The 25,144-nt window shown below is 43.3% G+C and overlaps 1 protein-coding gene across 4 annotated transcripts in view; it reads right to left on the bottom strand.

Moving 5' to 3' along the window:
- TMEM178B (transmembrane protein 178B) overlaps positions 1-25,144 on the bottom strand; it is a 437,233-nt gene that overhangs the window by 255,945 nt on the left and 156,144 nt on the right. The window lies entirely within an intron of this gene.

Genomic DNA, 25,144 nt, shown 5'->3' with positions numbered 1-25,144 from the left:
TCTTGTCAAATAACAACATGCAAAGTACGCTTGTTCCTTTAAGGCTAGAGTCTGGCCTTGAATTGAGCTGTTTCTCATACTACCTTCACCCCTATCCCACCCAGAAGTGGAATCCAACCTCTGTACCCCAGCTCTGCCTCTGATGCCTTGATCCCATTGGCAGGGACCTTGACAAGAGAAGGGAAAAATGAGAAAAATAGGCAGACCTTGCATCATGCTCCTGAAAACTGTGTGTAAAATAAGCTTTGCATATTAAGTCCCATCTTCCCATTGACCTCATGGTTACTTTTCTTCCTTCTTAGTTGTGTTTCAAGAGACAATGCACCCTAGCACAGTTAAGTTTCTCTCACCTCTACTGAGAACCAGTGATTCGAAACACTCAAGGGAGATAAGGAACTTTTCAGATTGTGAAGTGAAAAATTATTTTATATGGAGAAAGACTGCCCCCTGATTCATATATTTCTGAAAGTACAGATTTTTATTTATCACCTGCTGTTAAAATGGGGGTCACCTTTACTTAGATTCTGGTATCTAAGAACTGTGTACACTGAAAATCACTACATGACTCAAAAATCACCCCTTTTGAATTCTACTTGCAGTAAACAAGCTTTTTTGTTTGTTTGTTTGTTTTAGACGAAGTCTCGCTCTTGTCCCCCAGGCTGGAGTGAAATGGCGCCATCTCAGCTCACTGCAGCCTCTGCCCTCCCCCGGGTTCAAGCCATTCTCCTGCCTCAGCCTCCTGAGTAGCTGGGATTACAGGTGCCTGCCACCACGCCTGGCTAATTTTTGTATTTTCAGTAGAGATGGGGTGTCACCATGTTAGCCGGGCTGGTCTCGAACTCCTGACCTCAGGTGATCCACCCGCCTCGGCCTTCCAGAGTGCTGGGATTACAGGTGTGAGCCACCACACCTGGCCAGCAGTAAACAAGCTTTTAATTTCAAGTGAGAAGGAAAGCAATGAGACAAGCCGAGGAGGGCAGGGGGTGCTCTCCTGGGAACCCTGAGTAGCACCTGTAAGCAGCTGGGGTCATCTCAGCAAACGAGCTGCCCCACACCCAGGCAGCCTTGCTGGCATCACCTGTTAGGGCTTACCTCTGAAAGGCCATTTCCCACCCATGCTGCCTCTGTACTTTGGTGGGATGGCCCCATCCTCAGATGCCAATCAAACAAGAGAGAAACTGGTTATTTCTCACTTAGGAAACAAAGCAGATTCAAATAAATGTCCTTCCTTTCCACCGGGAAGATTCTCTTCTACTTTACTATCAGAGTCCAGGCAAGCCCCACTTTTGACACCTTTTCAAAAAGCAAAATTCCAAACTCATAAACAAAAAGTTGAAAGTGGGGAAACAGTAAGGGAACAGGGAGGCACATTTTCCTTTGCCAAAAGATGTATAGCTTTGCCCTGGGATACAAATGCAGGTTTTGTTATGTAGGGGGTCCTAACAAAGGTCCCTAGTGTTAGGAGTCACAACTCATTGTAGAGCCTTCAAAAATGAAGGGGGCCGGGCGCGGTGGCTCACGCCTGTAATCCCAGCACTTTGAGAGGCCGAGGCAGGCGGATCACCTGAGGTCAGGAGTTGGAGACCAGCCTGGCCAACATGGTGAAACCCCGTCTCTACTAAAAATACCAAAATTTAGCCGGGCGCTGTGGTGGGCACCTGTAATCCCAGCTACTTAGGAGGCTGAAACAGGAGAATCACCTGAACCTGGGAGGCGGAGGTTGCCGTGAGCTGAGATCCTGCTATTGCAGTCCAGCTTGGGCAACAAGAGTGAAACTCCATCTCAAAAAAAAAAAAAAAAAAAAAAAGAAGGGAAAATGTGTATCTAAAATGAAAATAGTATAGAAAAACAGGGACTCAACTAATAAATATTTAACTTAATGCAGCATTTTTGGAGCACAGCTATTTTGTAAACAAAGATAAACCTGCTACAGAGGATTTAAAAGAGCATAGCATGGAGCTGCTGAAGCTGCACATTTGCAGATCCAAACACCCCGGAGAAAGGAGGAACCTGGATCCATCAGGACCCAACACAGTGGGCATGCTCAGAGGGAGTTAACGGGAAAGAGTTTAAGGAAGGAATTCTGCATACAGCTGTGTTCAGAATTAAAGGAACCAATAAGGGATAGGGAAGCACAAAGGGACTGGCAACAAGGGGGAAGCAGATACTGCCCCTAGGCCTGAGGAACCAGGGGAGGGAATTGTGTGTGCCTGAGAGCCTGCAGGAGCCAAAACTGTGGAAGAGAGGCCACTTTGCACAAGATGTGCCTTAAAGGAGCATAGCACCACAGAACTGGAGGAGGCAGAGGGCGGGGCATGTGCACATACAGATTGCCACCTCTTTTCTCTTGCCCTCTGGTTTTCTGGTGGTGCCTCCCAATGGCCAAACCCAAGTGGAAGGCAGAAAGCCAGGGAGCTCAGGCAATGCTGTCCATGGAGATCAGCTTCACAGGGCAAGGAGAATGGAGCTGGGGCAAATGCAGCCAAGCCAGTAAAGAGCCCTAGACTGAGACCCAGGACACCTGGTGCTAACTGTGCCACTGCTGTATTGGCTTTCAGACTTTGGACAACAACACATCTAGACTTCTAGGTAAGAGACTGTACCATACAGTCTGTGGTCTCTTTGACTCAATTTCATCCAGGAGTTATGTAGATCCAGGAGCTGTATATATCCAGGAGATGTGTAGAATTAGTAATAACACATCAGCTACTACAGGTATCACAAGGCTTTCAACAAGAGCCCTTCAAACTATGTAACACTGATGTGTTTACTAACTCCAAAATTCAGATAGACATCAAATCCATGGGCACAGAAACTGGCCCAAGGAATTCTCATCTTCATTTCTCAACAACTTCATCACTAGAGTGACGTCTACATCGTGGCCAGTTTCCCTTGGGGTTATCGAAGAGTTCAGAATTTCACATGCCTCCCTCGTTTCTTTTGAGAACAGCAAATATGGGCACAATTGGAAGATGAACCATCCTGAACTCCAGAACCTGTGAGGCTGTGCCTGCAGGACAGAGGGCTCAGACCCCCAAAATAGCAAGAAGAGACCCCCTGTCCAGTCCTCACCATTACAGGCAGCCTCTCCTATCGCAAGGGTCCCTTCTCTTTTGCAACCTTCCCATCCATGGACTGGTACCTGCCCCATACCAGCTAGTGGGGAAAAGATCCTCTGGACAATAGGTCCACACTCTGCCCTCTAATGGCAGGCCTTCTAGTCTTTCCTGTCTCATTAGTACTTCTAGTGACTTCAGTCCTGTAGCTTTACAAAGTCTTCCTCTAGTTATTTCATAGCATCTTCGGTAGGGACACTAACACATAGTAGAATTGCAACTTTTTAAGCCTTAAGCAAACAGGGATCTTAGAGAAATGTCTCTCTCTTAAGAGGAAAAAAATTAAATGATAAAAGAAAACATCAAGTCGAATGACATTTCAGAGAGAAGCAACTTCCCCCTTGCACCCTAGGTACAGTAAAAGGTGAGTTGTCAGGTGCTGCTGAAATCCCCAGGTGAAAAGCTCATGGGGATACGACCCAAGAGAAAATGTGATTTTAAGGCCAAGTCTACTAATAAATCAAAGAAATACTAGTCTGTTGACCTTGGACAGAGGACCGTGGGTTGGGGCACACTGTAATAGGTACAATGCGGGGTGGATAAAGTATACCTGGGGTAATAAAGGCTCTAAATTTGTTTTATAAGTTTGCTCTGGAGTTATTACTGTCGCTATTTGACTTAATAATTATGGCTTAATGTGTTAATAATTTTTACTGATGCAGTAATCTTGTAGGCTAAGTGGTTGCCTGGGAACTCTATATCATGCACCTAGTAGGTCCTGGCAATAAATGTTAATTGCAGTATCTCCAGCTGCAGAACTTTGGAAGCCATGAGGGTACATTGCTCTTTCTTCACCCTCTCATGTTCCCCCAAACTGCCTAGTACTGTCTTGCATCACACCCCTTTCTGGCCCATTCCCAGGTACACATATGATGTGTTTCCCTGCATATCTGTCTGTAATGCACTGCCCAGGCCACTCTAGCTGTCATTCTTTAATGCTTCTCTGATTCCTGCGGGTGCTTCTGCTTGTTTGGTTGTTTTTTTCTGTTTGTTTGTTTACCTCCAGTATAGAAGTTTCTGGCAAAGAGACTGCATCTTCCTTAGGGATTGAGAGACCCATACAAGTTAGACTGTGAGCCTCTTGAGATGAAGGAGTTCTCTCACTCATCACTGTATCCTCAGGGCCCAGCAGAGCCACATGGCCCACAGAAGATGCTTAAAAAAGATCTGCAAAATCTGAACTGTGTTTTAGGTACATTGGAGCATAGCTGACCCTTTAGGGAAACATAGAGTTGAATGCAAAGGAAAAGCCGAGGAAAGGAGTTTTCCTTTCCCACAGCTTGGAGTGCTGAGAAATGCCCTTCTGTTGCGAGGTGGGAAGAGAACAGAGACAATGCTTTGGACCTAAATGCTTTCAGAAAGAAAGACTGTAGTGTGATTAGACCCATTTGATCCTGTCAGGTATGAAAAAGGCTTGGGCAAACAATGAGGCCATGCTGGCCAGGGCTCCACTTGGAAATTATTAAAAGGTAACAGGCAAAGGAAACTGATTTAGTGCATCTTGGGAAGGGGGGATGAGAGAAGAACCACACGTGGCCAGGTGCTCAGCAGGAGCCTCTTGCTATGGAGAGGCTGATTGTGATAAATGTCAAGAAGTCCAGGGGGATTAAAGGAAGGTGAGCACAGAGCCCCCACTTAGCTCCCATGAGAACATCAGACACTCCATCCTGTGTTCTTTCCTTTGAGCTCCTGGAACTAAGTGGTTCTCCCTACTCTGTCATGCTTTCTTTCCTTAGCAATATATTTCCTTCTGGTCCTGTCCCAATTACACGGAGAGGACATATTGTAGTGGAAATGAGCACTGATGCTGGAGCCAGACTGCCCAGTTCGAATCCTTCCTCTGCCACTCACTAGCTGTGTGACTTTGAACAAGTTACTTAAGCTCTCTGCACTTCAATTTTCTCATCTATAAAGTGGGATAATGATAATAGTACCTATGCATAAGGCTGGTATGAAGATTCAATAAATCAGTGCATGAGTGCTGTAAAGGTGATCTGCAAGCTCACTGGCCATGTTACTCTCTGAGACTGAGTTTCCACATCTATAAAACTAGCTAGTTAATAATAGGCATCTTGCAGAGTATTTGAGAGGATTGGAGGTAGTGAATACATTCAATCTAAAATGCCAGGAATACAGCAGCTGCTCAGAAAAAAAAATTAGTTATTTTTATTATTACCAATAGTTAACTATTTTGGCCCCAAAAATATTTCATTTTGGGAGTTTTATTTCTTTAAAAAGAATTCATCTCTACGATGTTGGTCTTGTAAGTTTAAATTTTGTTTCCTTAAGGTAAGAAATATCCATGTTGAATTAATCATCTCCACTAAAGCTTGCCTCTGAATTATTAGAATGATATTAGATAAAGGAAAGTCTCATATTAGATTTAATATAGCCACACAGAATTTCTTTTCAAAATTCTGCTATCTGAAATGCATCTCCAGGGAAAAGATGAAATAGTACCAACAACCATTGGAATGGCAGAAGATAAGCTTCCCATTTAGAGCAGAGAAAGTTCTCCAAGTGGAAGGAAGCCTCCTTCCATTTTTCCAGACAACTCCACCCTTGGCCAGGCACATGAGCCCCTTTTCTCACTGGGTCCCATGTAATTACCAACAGGGCAGAGTTCAGTGTCAGCATCCTGCTAACACCCTCCCTGAACTGGGCCTTCTTCTGCCCTCTCACTCTTGCCTACTTCTGCCATTTCACCTGTTACCCAGTTCCAATGTCGCTTCCACATTTTCAGGAATCTTTACAGCACTGTCCCACTCTACCAGTACCAATTTACTGTATAAGTACGTTTTTACACTGCTGATAAAGACATACCTGAGACTGGGCAATTTATAAAGAAAAAGAGGTTTAATGGATTCACAGTTCCACGTGGCTGGGGAGGCCTCCCAATCACGGCAGAAGGCACATCTTACATGGCAGCAGGCAAGAGAGAATGAGGACCCAAGCAAACGTGGAAACCCCTGATAAAACCATCAGATCTCAGGAGACTTATTCACTACCACGAGAACAGTATGGGGGAAACCTCCTCCATGATTCAACGATCTCCCACTGGGTCTGTCCCATGACACATGGGAATTATGGGAGCTACAATTCAAGATGAGATTTGGGTGGGGACACAGTCAAACCATATCAGTCACTCTTCCTCTTCCAGGTAGGCCCTTCTTCTATAAGGAACCACCAACATCCAACAGCCCACATTATCTGCAGCTCAAAAATCTCAGCAGGAAACTCTAAAGTCACAATAGGAGAGACCCAGCTCTGAGCACGCAACAAAATATAGTCCATACACCGGCTAAAGTGTATCCATCAACAAAGAACTACATATATGACAGTGGTCATCGAGTAAGCTAAGGTTAATTTATTATTGCAGAAAGAAAAGTATCTTTCATAAATTGAGGGTGGCCTAAGTGTATCGTGCTTATGAAGCCTACAGTAGTGTATACAAATGTCATAGGCCTTCACATTCACTCACCGACTCACCCAGAGCAACTTGCAGTCCTGCAAGCTCCATTCATGGTAAGTGTTCTATACAGAAGTATCATTTTTTACCTTTTATACCTTATATTTACTGTACCTTTTCTATATTTCGATATACAAATACTTATCATTGTGTACAATTCAGTATAGTAACATGCTGTACAGGTTTGTAGCCTAGGAGCAATGGGCTATATCATGTAGCCCAGGTGCGTAGTAGGCTATACCGTCAATGTCTGTATAAGTACACTCCAGGATGTTGACACAGCAACAACATTGCTTAATGATGCATTTCTCAGAACGTATCCCCATCTTTATTTTTTGGGACAGAGTCTCACTCTCTGAATATCCGATACACTTATTTGCTAGGCTGGAGTGCAGTGGCGCAATCTCGGCTCACTACAACCTCCGCCTCCCAGGTTCAAGCGATTCTCGTGCCTCACCCTACTGAGTAGCTGGGATTACAGGCGCCTGCCACCACACCTGACTAACTTTTGTATTTTTAGTGGAGGCAGGGTTTCACCATGTTGGCCAGGCTTGTCTCCAACTCCTGACCTCAAATTATCTGCCCACCTCAGCCTCCCAAAGTGCTGGGATTGCAGGCGTGAGCTACTGTGCCCGGCCACGTATCCCCATCTTTAAGCCATGCATGGTTATATTTGCAATTTAAGAAACAACTTGCAGAATGCTTTAGAGATGGACTGAAAAAAAAAAAGAGAAAGGGGAAGACTGGTCACATATGCATTAACAGAGGATTGAGTGACACGTGACAGGGGAGGACACATGACAGGGCCTGGAGGGGTGCCAGACACAAGATCTCATGAGGGTCCTGAGAGCCCCCAATTAATTAAGGTTGCCAGATTTAGAGGGAATAAAAAGACCACTCAGTTCAATTTGAATTTCAGATAAACAACAAATAATTTTTAGTATATGTATATCCTAGGAAATACTTGGAACATACACAAAAAATTTGGTCATTGTTTACCTGCAATGCAAATGTAACTTGGCATCCTACATTACCTGACAATCACACCTCTGATATGCCCTGGTATTACAGCTCCCACCTTTTAGAGAATCTGCTAGAAGTTCTCTCCCATTCTTCTTCCTCTGCATCCTCCACTAGAAATACAAAGACAAAGCATGGCTCCATCCTCTTTCCCTTTCCCTACTGCCAAAAAGAATGAAAGCCCAAAGAAAATCCCTTTCCCACGTGACAGAGGGAGAAGCTATGGATGTCGCTTGGAGGCAGCTGAATTCAAACATCTCGAGCAGAACCTGTGATCTTAAGCCCATTTCAGGGTCCCTCATGGGTCTGGGGATGGACTACTGTGATAGGGAGGTAACCAGTCTAAAACCGTAGGCAAAAAATTCTAAGTGTGCATTATTTTCCAGGAAGCTTATATAGATAGAGAGACAGAGAGACCTACAGAGAGATATATCCATGTATATAAAGAATTATCTACATCTATATCTGTGTATATATAAATATCTATATCTACATAGCCATATATCTTGATTTGAATTGTGTGTGTGTGTGTGTGTGTGTGTAGAGAGAAACCTATATATAGAGAGATATCTATGTATAAAGATAAATATCTATTTCCACAAAGTTCTCTCTCTATATATACATAGAAAGAGAGAGCGAAAGATTTATACATATGTACACACATACATATATAATTCTGTCAGGATTGTTCTAGATACTGGGAAAAGTCCTATCGCGAATCAGAGACACATGTTCCCTGACCCCATGGTGCTCACATTCTAGCTGCAGAGATGATCTACAAAGAAGCAAACAGATAACCAGACGTTTATTTTAGAGAGCAATAAGCTCTTTAAAGAAGGAATGCTTGGTAATGGGGAAAAGAGTGCTGGGGGTGGCTGGACATGCTCCCTTATTCAGATCCTACAGCAGCCCCGTAGCCCCTAAGGTGTGCACAGCATTTACGAGTCTGGCACTCAGGCCCTTCTGTACTCTGACCCCGGCCCCTTTACCAAATCTCATCCTTCGTTTCTCTACAACACAAATTCTTCACCTACACCATGTCTCTTGTTCCCACCTCTACGCCTTTGCTTACCTGCACACACTCTTTTCCAGCCTCCACAAATTTTTTCCAGTTTTAACTCTACATGATCCAGTTCTTGATCCGCCTCCTCCAGGAAGCCATCTCTGGTTTCTCTACCCCTTAAAAAAATACTTATTTTGAATTCTTAGCATATAGGCTACAAAGTGTCTTACATATTTAGCCAAATTACTTTTAAATCATTTTATTGAAGATCTTCTTGTCTCTCTACCTATGTTACAACCCCCTAGAGGATGGACGTTACTCCAAATACCCTTTCGTAGTCTCAGAAACATCGTACTGAACCTGATAAATACATGCTGAAATCATGAATGAAAAGATTTGCCACTTGCATCCACATGGGGAAATGGGTCATTACTCTGTAAGTATTTTTCAATTTCATTTTACTCAAGAAGTAATAGATATTTGGTAATACATTTTTATGTGAACTAAAATAAGCATGGCTCCATAGAGATGAACTATCAACAAAAAATGGACACATTTGCTGCTGGTCCTCAGTAGCTGTCTGGGATCTGGAAGCAACCTGATTCTTATTCAGACTCATCCCCTCAGAAACAAATTTGAACAAAAATAAAAAGTTGTGATAGGCCTAAGCTAAACAGGCTTTTCCTAAGTTTGTAGAAATCTTAAAAATTTACAGGTTTGGTTGGAATTCAGGAAAAAAAAAAATCGCATCATTTCCCAAACTCTACTACTCCCATCCCTACTTCCAAACCCTTTTCCAGTCTGACGGTGGTTCCAGAGTGAGGTCCAAAAGTACTTGTTTATATAACAGAAGTGGATTTACATCTGTCTCCACACAATAACATTTCTATCACGGACCATAATGAAATTCACTGGACAAACTTACACAACGAAAAGAATATGGATTTGGAAAAGGTTTGGATGAAGATCGACTCACAGCATGCCAATTCTCTTGCCTCTATTTCCGCTGAAAAATCTATAGGCATTCCCAATTCCTGTGGAGTTCCATCAGGGGAGCTGGCTTATGTATACGATGTGGCTGCATTTGAGCTTAAGGACAAGTGAAAGCGTATGAGCACTATTTGCAGAAATGAGAGAGTTTGCAGGAGAGGATTCTCAGAAGAGAAGGAAAACAGTTCTAAGACCTCGGTGATTTCTCTTCTTGCTGTAAACTCAACAGACTATCGGAGACTTTTTGCCGTTTCTTTATTTTGCAAAATGTTCTCAAAAGAAGTCTTAACCTCTATAGCAAGAGTTTAACATTCAGGCCTCTGGGCAAAATTATCTGCAAGTGTAAAATGAACAAACCTCCATCCACAAATGTCCTTCCCCAGTTCCACTCCAGAAGCAGCCTGGGTTCTGCTTCTGGCCTTTCCACAGTCCTGTTTTCCCTCCCTTTCCCAGGAGGCAGCCCACACTGCGAAACCTTCTCACTCCTGGGCCCCTTAACATGATGTTTCTTGGCTCTCCTCCTACCTCCCCTGTGCATCCTTCTTTTTTTTTTTTTTTTTTTTTTTTTTTTTTTTTTTTTTTTGGTGATGGAGTCTTGCTCTGTCACCCAGGCTGGAGTTCGGAGTCCAGTGGTGCGATCTCGGCTCACTGCAACCTCCGCCTCCCAGGTTCAAGCAATTCTCTTGCCTCCCAGGTTCAAGCAATTCTCCTGCCTCACCCTCCCGAGTAGCTGGGATTACAGGCACACGCCACCATGCCTGCTAAATTTTGTATTTTTAGTAGAGATGGGGTTTCTCCATGTTGCCCAGGCTGGTTTCGAACTCCTGAGCTCAGGCAATCTGCCCACCTCAGCCTCCCAAAATGTTAGGATTACAGGCATGAGCCACCAAGCCTGGCCCTGTGCATCCTTCTTTGTGCCCTTTGCTGAGTTCTTCTTCCCCCCGAGGGCAACCTATGTGCACTTCACACCTTCCTCTTTCATCCTGGAAACACATCCTATTTTATGACTTCACTATCACCTCTATTCCATGACTCTCGAATCTGTATTCTCACTCAATTTTTCACTGACACTCTAATTCAGGTGCCCACAAGCATCTCCAGCCGGACCTGTCATCATCACAGACTCTACGTGCTTCAAACTGAAATCATTGTCACCATTCTCATTACTCCTTCTCACAGCCTCACTAGGTTCTGCCGCCTAGGCTTAAAAGCCTGGAGCCATCCGTTTGTTCATTCAACAATTACTCACATGTGTATCTTTTGTGTCCTATAGCCTTTCTAGCCCACCATAACCAAAATTTTAGCCCCTTTTATTCCAACTCAAAATGTCATCTTCCTTTCTCTCCAGTTATCCCAGTCATAGCTACCTTCAAGGCTCAATTTTAGTCCTAAGTCATCTCTCCCTTCTCTGAATGTCTGATGCATTTATTTGCCATAGTATCATTTGGGTACTTAATACAACACTGCTTTGCACAGTTACCTGTTTCGTGAGTTACGTTTTACACCGTCAGTTATGTTACATAGACATACTTCCAAGCTCTGGATGAAAGGAACTGTATGGATTTTTTTAAAGGACCTGTCTACCCTGGCACATAAGTAAATGAGCTGAGCTTTATGCAATGCTTATCTCAGGACCTGGTGCAAAATAACAGCCTAAAAATATAGGTTTGAAAAAATCGTGAGAAACATTTGGTAAACTGAATAAGACTGAACTGCACAAAACGCTCCCCCAAAATGTCCGCAGCCCCGGTTTTGCCTCTTCTACCAGCTCTAGTGGAAGGCTATGAATACTGGACCGTCATGAGGGCAGGCATTGTGGAGGACACAGGTACACAGGGGTATTCAGTGGTGGATACATGTTTGGGTCTTGACAGGTCAAGCAAAAATGGTCCACACGGACTTGAATTATTCCAGGAGTGAAATGGAACATGAAAATACACTCGCCACTATTACTTTCCTTCCCCTCATAACTTTTAATAATACAAATGTTTGGCTTCACCTCTTCTCAGCCCTGTCACTGGCTGCATGGCTGGCAATGAGAACGAGAATGTTCTGCAAAATAGATCTGGGCCCATGGGCCAGTACAGTAGGGGAACCACAAAGAGTGCAGCTGGATTTGAGAAGGAGGAAGGAAGCCGAGGCCCAGCGAGGAGAGTGACCTGGTAACGGTCACACTTCTACTGGCCCAAATTAACCTGAGGTTCCTGCCTCACTCCCCTCTGCTCCCCTTCCTCCAGTCTCCGTTTGAGGACACCACCAGCCCCTGCTGACGTTTCCCTCAGCTTCATCAGCATCTCACATCCTTGGTTAAGAGGCTTCTTCCTACTTCTGATGGCTGCCATAACCCCATAGAGCAGAGCTGACCGCGCTCCACCCCTTACAAAGACAGAAGTGCTGAGAGACTTCAGTGTCATTTTTAATCTCCAAGCAGAAGTTAACGGTTGGAGTCAAAAACAAAAGAACAAAAATCCACAAGTGACCATCCCAGAGGCCCTCTCTGCAAAACCACACACAGAGTCCCAGGCTGACCTCGCATGGACTCCGAGAAAGAGACAATTCTCCCCTTCATTAGTCAATGACCCGAAAAAAAGGCAATCAAGCCAGGGTCACATGACTTTGGTTGTTTGGGGTTTGTTTAAGTTTTACTTTATTTAACGTGAATGAAAAATCTAAACTGTCTCTCTTATTTTATTCCTGGGGATTTAAAGCTAGCCAACACACAAAAGAACATTTAAAAAATAGACTTTGTGCCTAGTTCAAGAAGAAAATCAGATGCAAAAGGAGGAGAAAGAGGAAGAAAAAAAGGTAGATGGAGGGAAAAGTGGAAAACAATGACATAAAGACAGGAGACAGGAGTGAATGCAACTCAAAGGCAGAGAGACAGCAGCTGGAATCTCAGATAAAGAATCGGGGCCTGGCACGGTGGCTCATGCCTGTAACCCCCGCACTCTGGGAGGCAGAGGTGAGCAAATCACTTGCGGTTAGGAGTTTGAGACCAGCCTGGCCAATGTGGTGAAACTCTGTCTCTACTGAAAATATACAAAAATTAGCCTGGCATGGTGACAAGCACCTGTAATCCCAGCTGCCCGGGAGCTGAGGCAGGAGAATCACTTGAACCTGGGAGGCAGAGGCTGCAGTGAGCCAGGATCATGCCACTGCACTCCACCCTGGGCAACAGAGTGAGATTCCGTCTCAAAAAAAAAAAAAAAAAAGGAAAAGAATCGGGAAGGTAGGTAATGGAGAAACACACACACACACACACACACACACACACACTCACACAAAGTGTGAAAATAGCCACAGAGCGAATACCATGAGGAAATCACTATGCAGTTCTGCTCTGTTTATATTGTTTGTTTCAATTCAACAGTACTTTAAAAGATTCTAAAATAGCCGGGCATGTGGCTATTGATTAGCTGAAATGTGGCTACTGGGATTGAGAAAGTAAATTTCGACTTTGATGTAATTTTAATCAAACTTCCACTTAAATTTTAAAATGAAGGCAATATAAAGCCTGTTGCCACTAAACACAACTTTGTTTGGTAGGACTACTTTTCACTCTGCTTCAAAGTCAATCTGCTTCAAAGTTAATCTTATTTCAAAAAGATAAACCAGTTCTATTAATAGGAGCATGAATATTAGAGCTGATTTTTTGGGACTCAATTCAGTTATTAAAAAGCTTTTAAATATGTCTGGAATAACTTGGATATGTGCATTCACATTTTCAATTGTCAGTTTTATGGACTCTATAAAACTATAGATCAAGTATTTCTGATGAAAATGTAGCACCCAAATTCAGATGTGTTTTAAGTACACCAGATTTTGAAAACTTAGTGCAAAAAAAAAGATCTCTCGATAAATTTTACATTGATTATTCATTGAAACAAGAATAATATTTTGGATATATAGGGCCAAGTAAAATACACTATTAAATTTAAGTCAACCCATTCCTTTTTACTTTTTCTAATGTGGCTACTGGAAAATCTAAAATTAGGTATGTAGTTCATGTGTTTCAACTAGCCAGGCCTATTCTGAAGGAAGCAAAGCGAAGCTCCTTTAAAGAGGTCTGACAGAAACCAACGCCACCACGTGCCCTCAAATCTTGCTGGAGCCTTGGTAGCTGAGGAACCAGATAAATTCTTTTTTTTTTTTTTTTTTTTTTTGAGACGAAGTCCCGCTCTTGTTCCCCAGGCTGGAGTGCAACAGCGGGATCTCAGATCACTGCAAACTCTGCCTCCTGGGTTCAAGTGATTCTCCTGCCTCAGCCTCCCGAGTAGCTGGGATTATAGGCCTGCCACCACGCCCAGCTAATTTTTGTATTTTTAGTAGAGACGGGTTTTCACCATGTTGGCCAGGCTGGTCTTGAGCTCCTGACCTCAGGTGATCCGCCCACCTCAGCCTCCCAAAGTGCTGGGATTACAGGCGTGAGCCACCGCGCCAGGCCAGAACCTGATAAATTCTAAATAATCTGTAATGTTGGTGCCTAGGATGAGATGAACCAGGAAAGCAGGAAACTTCTTCAACCAAAAAAAGGCATACAGAGTGATATAATGGACTTCAGAGACTCAGAAGGGGGAGGATGGGAGGGGGCTAGGGATTAAAAAAAAAAACTACACATTAGGTACAATGTACACTACTCGGGTGACGGGTGCACTAAAATCCCAGAGTTCACCACTACAGAATTCATCCATGTAACAGAACAAAAAAAAACGCTTGTACCCCAAAAGCTATGAAATAAATTTAAAAAAAAAAAAAAAGGGATCCCAGAGGACATGACAATGTTCTCAATTCATGGAACCTCCACTCATGGGGGCTTCCCACCAGGTGGAGTCACAAGGCAGGAAGTCCAGAAGTGCAACCTTCCCAGCACCCACCTTTCAGAAAACTTAACAAAAGCTAGCAGATACCAAATCACAAGGAGGAGGAAAGAAACAGAGACATGGAAAAGCAAAAGGAACACACACAAACTCAGAGCAGTAGAGGATGAGAAAGCAATTGGCTTCATATAAATAATAGCAAAACAGTGCACACAGCTGTGTGTTTATACCTAGAAAATCCATCCTGGTGTTTGCCAAAGGCAAAGGAGATCTAACTCATTTATAATACTGTTCTCTTCGGTATTAAAATGCAATCTAATCAATTAAATAGTTTTACCCAGAAATATTCTTAAAAGTAAAATTTGTAATCACAGAAATTCTTGTCCTCATTTACAACACAGAAAATCATTAACTTTCTACTTTGGGAAAGTGAAAGGTGTCATCATCCATGGAAGAGACAAGAATATTCTACTTTTGCAGCCTAAGCTGAAGACTGATAATACAGATTTAGAAGCCAAATCAGTAAACACTGTAGCAGAAGCTTAGAAACTTCTAGAAGGGAAATACCAATCTGGAATAGTCTTCTTTGTACTGCACATAAAACAAATTCAATCTGGTGTGTTGTACATGTTTTTTAATAATAATGGTAATTAATTTGAATTATTGGCCATCTCACCTCCTCCAATTAAAAACCTCATTTTTTTAAATGGGAGGAGTAAATTCATGGCAGAAAGAGGTTGTACTCTAGAACTATCCAATACAGTAGCCACTACCCACACATGGCTACTGCACACTTGAAATGTAGCCAGTCTGAATTGAGATGCACCATAGTATAAAATTAACATGTGATTTCAAAGACCTAGTACAAAATAATTAAATCGAATTAAAATATTTTTCAATGTTGATTATATGTTGAAATAAAATTTTGATATTAAGTTAAACTATGTTATTAAAATTAATGACATCTGTTTCTTTTTATTTTTTTAGGTGGCTACAAGAAAAATGTTAAATCTGTGGCTTATGTTCTGTTTCTACCGGACAGTGCTCAAGTGACCAACTTCAGCTCCCTACACTAGGGGGCAAAGCCCAGGTTCACTGCCACAGGTCATGAGGTTGATGGTATTCTAGAAGCAGATCCACCAAGTCCTATGGAAAAGCTCCATGTAGCCTCCTGATAACAGTGACCAGGACCATCAGGAAGGCTGTCCTGTTGGAAACCACCATGGATGAGCCCAGGATGGGAACAGTTTTCAGAATGCAGGGATTCTAAGACTCTCATCACCCCCTGTGGTGGGTGCCGTGGGATGCCACCAAGATCCCACTTCAGAGCGGAGGCATGGGATCTTCTAGTCATCCCCCTGCTGAGACTCGAGGCTGAGTTCCACCCGGGGAATCAATCCTGGCCAAAGGTAAGGTTTCACCTAAGGTATGACCCTTTCCAAGCGATGGCTGGCACCCAATGACAGGTCAATTGGGTCAGTGGAGGGTACGAAGTGACCAACTTCATAAAACAACAGGACACTCTGAAGGGCTATCCCAGGTCCAAATGACTGAGACGTTTGCTGCAACTCCATTGCCGCTCAGTGGCTCCCTCTGACCAGTCCCGCTCCCCTGCCTTCCTCCCTCCCTCCCTCTCTCCCATGGCACTCCCCAGTAACCTCTGCATACAAAGCTCCATTTCAAGGTCTGCTTCTGGATGAACCCACCTAAGATATCCCCAGATGTGAAGAACACATTACAGCAAAATGTATATGCACGCATGCATGTGACACGTCCCCACACATGCACATGCACAGAGGGGACTTTATCTGCTTTGCATTCAGGCCCAGCAATGATGTCAGGATAGTTGGGTCAGCTAACAACAACAACAACAAAAAAAACCTAGCTCCTACCGGCTCCTGCAGAGTCCCTCCATTGTGATGATTATTGTGAAATATTTTTCAGCCTCTGCTCTATTGGGCAGAGAATAGAAATCCTGACAGCCAAGAGCTAACCTACTCGTGAAGCTGGTTATCTCACCTAGTTAGAGCCCTTTGCTAACGAGTCCAAAGATATAGGCTGCAGCTATCCCAAGGGGGCTAATTAATTTCATTCTGTTCCTTGACTACAGACTGCACCCCTAACCACACAGAACCCAGCAGCACTCTCGCTGTTGGTCACAGGGAAGCTACGTGGGAACACAGGCCTAGATCCGCATAAACAGTGGCCAGGTCAGGAAACTCACAGTGGCACACCCAGACAGGGGCTGCCCCCAGCCGCGTTACTGCTGAACCTGCCTCAGTTCACTCACTGCTTCCATCACTAAGAGTGATTTTTCTCCCAGAGATGGTCTTCTGGGTTCCTGGTCTTTCCCTGTTTTCTCTTCTTCTCTGAAGCATTACTTCCCTGTCTGGTCCACTGCAGCCCTGATACTGTAGTTCAACTGCACAGGTATTTTTTCTAAAGTTTAGAGAATCCTGGGTTGTAGGTTACACACAGTTAAGATATATCAAAAGCACGGCTCTCTATCGCACGCTAAGCCAGACCCAGGGAGGATATACAACAATCTTCCAGGCTCCCGAAGGTCTCTTTCCTCCCTCTCTTTTCCCTGGGGGCTTCTATCCCACTTGTCATAACACTGACCACCACTGAGCTGCCCCTTTTTCTCCATAGAGAAGTGAGACCTTTCCAACCTGGACTTGGATCTAACTCCTGGGCTTCAGGGTAAGACTCAGCTCCTCTCAACAACCTGTCCTACTCCCCGGACTCTGAGCCTAGAGACAGCAACAGGATTTCTTAACGCAGCTCCTGAGCATGAGCCTCCACTGAAGTCAACCGGTTTCCCAGTCTGTGCTTGGGACTGGGTTTTACAGTCCCAAACTGTGCCCTGTTTACCTCCTCCTGTCCTTAATTTCCTTTTTTTTTTTTTTTTTTTAGACAGAGTCTTGCTCTGTCACCCAGGCTGGAGTGCAATGGTGCATTCTCGGCTCACTGCAACCTCAGCTCCCCCAGGTTCAAGCGATTCTCCTGCCTCAGCCTCCCGAGTAGCTGAGATTACAGGCATGTGCCAGCATGCCCTGCTAATTTTTGTATTTTGGTAGAGACGGGGTTTCGCCATGTTGGCCAGGCTGCTCTCGAGCTCCTGACCTCAGGTGATCTGCCCGCCTCAGCCTCCCAAAGTGCTGGGATTACAGGTGTGAGACACCACGCCCAGCCCTGTCCTTACTTTCAAAATAAAGTATCTGATGGTGATGGTGGTGGTTGTTATTATTTTACTTCAATGAATCACATATGTTTATAAGATTAAATACAAAAAAAATCTTGAAAGGAAAAATCACTCATAATCCCACCACCCAGAGATAATCACTGTCAACATTTTGGTTTATTTCCTTGCAGCCCTTTTCTATGTATATGTGTATATATTATCTTGTAACATTCTAGCTAGAAGCATAATCTACATCTCATTTTACATTATTCTTTTTTTCAATTTGTATTCAATATGCAAGCATTTCTTTATGTCTAAAAATTCTGCGCAAATGTCACATTTAATGGTTATAGCACACTCTACTATATAACTGAACCATAATTTGTTTAACACTTACCCCATTTTTGAGCATTAAGATCATTACCAATTTTTAGTGATGAACAATTTGAATTTAAAACTCTCTGTATATTTCACATTGTTCCCTTAGGAGAAAGACCCTTAAATGGGATTACTTAGTCACAGAGTATGAACATTCTAAGACTTGTGATAAATATTGCCAAACTGATTTCAAGTAAGGTTGTATCAATTTGATCTCCTATGAACACACCAACAATGACTGAGAGTTTTCTAATTTTGTTAGGTAAAAAAACAAAACAAAACAAAAGATATGCTATTAGTGTATTAATTTGCATCTCAGATTACTTGGTGAAACCAAATACTTTTCATGTTTGTTAGAAATGTCCATTTCTCTTTGCAACCTGTTCACATCCTTTATGCATTTATTTATTGGGCTCTGAATCTATTTGCATGCCCTCTTACCATATTTGGAAAGTTAATATTTTGTCTAGCATGTTTGTTGCAAGTATTTTCCCAATTTCCTTGCCTTTTAATTTTTCATTACTTTTTGGCCTGCACAGTTTTTAATTTGAATGTGAACAAACCTATCAATCTTTTCCTTTGTAATTTCCCTTAAGCTTCGAAAAATCTTTCCTTCATCAGGGCATCAGATAAATAATCACCTCTTTTTCCTGCTTTGTTTAATAGTTTCCCATTGACTGTTCCCACTCTCAAGGCATTTCTAATCGGCTTCTCTCCAGGGCTTCCCTCACCACAGGTTATTTTCTCCCACTCCTCACTCATCCCATGTGCTGCAATTGTCCCTGGAGTGAAGATAGAGGTGATCCTTTTCAAATGGCCTGCAATATTTGAGGGAAGATGGAGGCTGCAGGCAGGTGGTTTGGTTCTGTTATCTTCTTGTGACATTGCACACAGGGCCAAGAGAAAGTGCCCCAGTGCCCCTGCTTACCTCCCAAGGGCTGCATCTATCTGCAGCCAGGGGAGAAAGAAGTAATGTTCAGGATTGTTGGGAATTCTTCCCAGGGGTCCTGGTAACCCCACCCCACTTGCACACAAGCACCTGCTTTCTCCTCTCTTTCCCTTCTTTCCCTTTCTGTGCTTCTCTGCGCCGAATCTCTGTAACTTCTCAAATTTGGGAGCAGCTTAGTCAGTGATATTGGGGAAACTTTCCTCTTCCTCTCCCACTCAATACAAACCCTCTCTGAGACTGGAGCTCCCTCTACCCTCTACCTCCAGATATTCACAGGGACCTGTGGGGGTAAGGGGCTGGGGTGTGGACTAGGTTTGCATCTCAGAGAACATTTGGAAGCTGGAATTAGGGAGCTCTGGTCTGGTTCTCTTGTCCCCATCTCTTGCTGGTGATCCAGCAGAGAGAAGAAAATCCCTGTTACACTCCTCTGTTTGCTCTCATCAGAAAACTAAACAGTGGACAGGCTTAAAGATTATCCCACATCCAGGACTGGGAAGGCTGAGCTGGGACGGCCAAGACAGGCCTGAAAGCCAGCAGGAAAGCACTGCGTGTCTAGGGGAGATTGTAAGATTCAAAGGGCAAGGGCCACACCTATCTTATTCACTGTATCCGAGGCCCTGGCAATTTCTTAGGGCTCGGTCAATAATGAGCCCTATGATTAGGAGTATCCTCTCCATCATGTACCCCATGAAGTATGGGGACTAACATATGCATAGACAATCAACTGTTTGGAATTATCCACAGAGGATTTTGAGGTTTGGTTTGGTTTTAGCAACAAATGCACTTTTTTATCCTTGACTAGCCCATGGATAAAAGCCCATAATACCTTTAGTACTTCATCCTCAAGTTCCTTAAATTTCTCTGGGCCTCATCACTAAAATGATAAAGTTAGATTAGATGACCTCAAATGTCACTTCTAGCTATAAAATTCCATGATTAGATTAATAACTTAAAATGAATGTTTTTATTGACGGTTATAAATTCTGTTCTGTCTACACATGGGCTTAGAGTATATGCAGTAATTTACATCTGACTGTACTTTACTGGAAGCTAAAGTTCAAAAAGGAATTAGAATTGTGATTGGCTGTTTCTAGCCTGCTGTGTACACTGCAACACAGGCACAGAAATGATTCTTCAAGCAAGTCTTCTACACCAACCATTAAACTATTATTAATATAAGAACATATTCCTTACCACAATAAATCAGAAGGCTTCATTTAATGATTCTGAAATTTGGTAAAGGTCATTCCCAGCTTCACGGAAAATCAGTCACAAATGAAGATGTGTCGACGGAAGCCCATTCGCCATAGAGGCCAATGTGATGGGAAGCTTTGAATGCTAATACTCTAGAACATTCCAACTAGTACTAACATAAATAATACTCATATTGAAATGAAAATTGATCCTAGGATTTCTTTTTACATGGCCTTAGGATTTGGTGGCTTGTTCAGAGAGTGCCAACTCATTTGAATATTTGCCTAATTAGGAAGATAAATCTGCTACCCCCGCTGCCAGCAATCATGTCGTGCGTTCCAAAGCCAAATATAAATGCCTTTTGTATCACCCACTGTTTCAGATTATTCACCTCCCACGTCTGCATAGACGGCACAGAACTGACCCAACTGTTTCTCTTCTTGGCCTGTCCTCTGCTCTCTCATCAAGGCTTGGCTCTGCCACATAGACGAGAGTGCAGATGGCACAGAACAATTTTGAGGGCATGGGGTACAAGAAGATGCAAGGGGAATTAGGGTTTGATTAACCCAGAATGAGGAAATGTGATGGGCATGGAAATTCTCGGACCAGGTTCTGCACGAGGGGGAATGATCACATCTAATCCTGCTGGAAAAGCTGACTCACCACCCTGGACACAGAAGACAGCCCTGGTGTGCCTGAGTTTTAAGCAGCATCCATCTCTCCTCTCATGGTACAGCCTCCTGCATTCTCCCTCCTAGCCACACAGAACTCCTCTCTGCTGCTCAGACATCCCTCTGGCCTCCTCATTTCCATGACTTGATCAAGCTGCTACATCAATCTAGAAAGTCTTTGTTTCCCTCTTGTCTGGGAAGTCCCAGCCATTGTTCAAGGCCTAATTTGAAATCCCATAAAACTCTCACCAGATCATCCTAACCTCAGCAAAATGATCTCTCCTCCCCATGTTTCATGGCATTTGATTTGCCCCAATGTGCCCTTTATTGAAGTGATTTGTTTATGAATATAGACACTTTAAGTTTTACACAACAGAGAACAGAGGCAGTATCTTGATATTTTATCCCCACAAATGCCTGTCACAGACTTTACATATAACTGTAGACTAGCAAGAGGCAGGCAAAAGAGAGTAGTCACCTTCTCCCAGTGCAATCTGGACCATACATCTTTTTAGAAGCATCAGAGAGGACTACTGCACCTAGGGGGACCAACTCCCCATGCCTGAAGACAGAAGTTATCCAACTTTGGCTAGCACAAAGGAATAATCTTTAAATCAGTAGTCTGAAATGGCAGGATAAGGATCTGCATTTTTGCAAGCCCACTCAGGTAATTCTGATGCTGGTGGTCCTGGGATCACTGTTTGACAATTCTGCCCTGGGAAATATTTCATGTGATAGGGACAGATGCACAATGAAGTCAAAGAGGTCGAACTTGGCATTGCCAGTTTTGCAAAAGGGAGAAGTACATTTTGATAGGGAACTCATGGGAATGAATAGGGCTCTCAACCTTCTTTTGACCAGCAAAAGTCCATGTCAAAGTGCTCAGGGCTCTATATAAACACCCAGCTCCCTGAAGGTATCTGTGCTACAAGGGACCTAAGACTCTTCCCTCACAAAACACATACCCCAGTGGGACATGGAAGTTACAACACCCCCAGTCTAGCTCTTAACAGGTGCCTGTGCCGAAATGCATAGGAACCCTGAGAAGGAGTAGCCCAAAATAGAAGAAGAGCTTACGGTGGACTATCACTTGGAGAAAGGTTTCCAAGGTTAATATGGAAAAATGGAGAAAATTTATTCTCAGAACAGTGCTCACGCAGCTGAGAGCAATAGAAATTCGACCTTCAGCAATTTCCTGGGTCACCCCCATTAGGCTTTGAGCTAATCCTGCACCTAACAACCACTCTCACATTCTTTGTTTGATTAAAGAAATGTCTTTCATGCCTACTATGTGCCAGATAGATATCATACCAGACATTGGGATTAAAAGATAAAAATGTATGTCCCTTGCCCTAGCATAGACAAGCACAGCAGTGAATAATTGTAACTTAAATAGTGTGCTGACAGCAGTGTTCACAGGAGAGACTCCCAATCTGCCTTGGAGAGAGGAGCAGGGAAGATTGAGGTTTCAATCGCAGAACTAACACACTTCTCCAGGATGACCACATTCGAATCAATGCACTCTCACTCCATCTGTTCCAAGTTACAAGAGAACTTTCCACCTAAGGGAGTGGCATCATCCACTCCCCTCTGGCTTTTAGGGAGGGCAGCTCACAGCTGTACTCAGATCATCTCCTCAAGCTTCTCTCAATCAGGCTGTGGTGCCTCCATTACTAATCTCCTGCTTCCTGAGTTTGGGGCATGACTGCTGGATCCCCAAGGGCTTTGTAGCAGGGGGCTCAGGGCTCCTAATGGGACACAGCCCTGCCTGCTGGTAAAAGTAGGGTGGCTGGAGATCCATGAACACCATGGAGCCAGGGAAAGCTTTCTGGCAGGAGAAGAAAGCTACAGAAAGAGGAAGTAAGGAAGCTGAGCCTCTAAGGTTACATGGGTTTATTGGCATTTAATTCATATTTTTACTTCTATTTCAACTAAGAATTAAAATGTATAGAAAAAGCAATGCTGTGCTTGTGTGCTGCTGGATTTAGTTTGCAACATCACTGATCATTTGAGAAATGCAAATCAAAACCACAATGAGATACCATCTCACACCCGTCAGAATGGTAATTATTAGATAGTCAAGTAACAACAGATGCTGGCAAGGTTGCAGAGAAAAAGGAATGCTTTAACACTGTCGGTGGGAATGTAAATTAGTTCAACCATTGTGAAAGACAGTGTGACGACTCCTCAAAGACCTAGAACCAGAAATACCACTTGACCCAACAATCACATTACTAAATATATACCCAAAAGAATATAAATCTTCTATTATAAGGATACATGCATGCATATGTTCATTGCAGCACTATTCACAATAGCAAAGACATAGAGTCAACTCAAATGCCCATCAATAATAGACTGGATAAAGAAAATGTGGTACATGTACACCATGGAATACTATGCAGCCATAAAATGGAAAGAGAGCATGTCCTTTGCAGGGACATGGATGGAGCTGGAAGCCATTATCCTCAGCAAACTATTGCAAGAACAGAAAACCAAACACCGCATGTTCTCACTTATAAGTGGGAGCTGAACGATGAGAACACATGGAAACATGGGTGGGGAACATCACACACCAGGGCCTGTAGGGTTGGGGGTGGCAAGGGGAGGGACAGCATCAGGAAGAATAGCTAATAGATGTTGGGCTTAATACCTAGGTGAGGGGTTGATCGGTTTGGCAAACCACCACGGCACATGTTTACCTATGTAACAAACCTGCACATCGTGCACATGTGCCCCGGAACTTAAAATAAAAGTTGATGGGAAAAAGGAAAGAAAGAAAAAGCAATGCTGCCTAGGCTAGATCATGTGGTCAGTTATCTGAAGCCCAGCTAGTTGACCGTGGGAGAACTGCCAGTGGAGGGAGCCATGCCACTGTGCAGTTTCCACCAAGCAGCAGCAAGTCTCCACCTTGCAGATGCAGTGGCAGAGAGGGCCCTTCCAGCCCCCAGGGAGCAGGCTTTGCTTCCGTCTCTAAATAGGAATGCTGCAGAGGAGATACCATGTCAAATAGAAAAAGAAAACAGGAAATGGCTGGCACTGGGTGCGGAATTATTTTACTAAGCAAGTGTTTATTTTTCTGAGGCATCAGCAATTTTTTTTTCAGGTTACATACTGAGTAACTGCAATCATTGATTACATTAATGGATTGCCTCTGGAGAAGGAATCTAATTACATTTTTGTACAAATTGCAAAATGTAGATTAATTTCAAACTTCCTTGGCAGCCTTGTCGTGTTTTTTTTTTTTCTTCTCTTGAGCTCTAGGTCAGGAGCCCCAAAGCATGGCAAAGAAACCTGAACTTTGAGAAGGCTTTGTTTGTTCATTCAATAAATATGCACTGAGCTGCTTGCCTTCTGTATGCACCAGCTCTGTTCTAGGCGCTGGAAATGCAGAGGCAAACAGGACAATGTCTCAGTCCTCTTGGGAGTTCCCCAAGCTGTAAAAGAACTTCAAGAGAGAAAAATCCCAAATGTTCCTGAACCCATTTAAGTAGCTGCTGGGCTTTCCTTTCTGAACATCACTTAGGGCTTGGTGGCTCTTATCCAAAGGTTGTCCATTTCTTTAGCCCTGCAACAGAAATCTAAAAGAGTAGGAAAGTGGGAGGCCAAGGGAGGAGGATCACTTGAGGCCAGGAATTTGAGACCAGCCTGGGCAACACAGAGAGACCCTGTGACCTGCCTTCAAGGTTCAGCCTCTGCTGTCCTATGAGAGAACCTCTGAGCTGTCTTGTAATCTACAAAAAATAAAAAATAAAAATTAGCCAGGTGCAGTAGAGCACATCTGTAGTCCTAGCTACTGGGGAGGTTGAGGTGGGAGGATTGCTTAAGCTCAGAACTTCAAGACTGCAGTGAGCCATGACTGCACTACTGCACTCCAACCTGAGTGACAGAGCAAGGCTCTGTCTCAAAAATTAAAAAATAAATTTTTTAAAGAGTGGAAAAAGATTAAATAAGGGGGAAAGTGAAGAGGGTAACAAGAGAAGTAAGGAGTCTTTGGCCAAGTGGCACACCCACTGAAGACACTGATCTACTCAGAGATGGCAAAAGTAAGGTAACAGGACAGTAGAGACAAAGAAAAGAAAGAGAGAACTTTACAAAGGAGAAGTACAAGTGGCTGATAACCATTTCTTAAATTCAACCTTTCTTATAATTTCAAAAATGAGTAACTTTTTTTATCAATCAAATCAGCATATATCTTAAGGGGAAAAGGATTTTTCAATGTAGGTAAAATTTGGTAGGGCTATAAACTGCCTCAGTTTTTCTGGAAAGCAATTTGGCATTATATATCAAGAACCTAAGAAATGTTCATATCTTTGAGCCAGTAGTTCCAATTCTGGGCATTTATCCTAAACA

Source organism: Homo sapiens, chromosome 7, assembly GCF_000001405.40.
Source record: "Homo sapiens chromosome 7, GRCh38.p14 Primary Assembly".
NCBI lineage: Eukaryota > Metazoa > Chordata > Mammalia > Primates > Hominidae > Homo > Homo sapiens.
The sequence above is the reverse complement of the archived record's forward strand: the minus strand, read 5'-3'. Positions and strand labels throughout refer to the sequence as shown.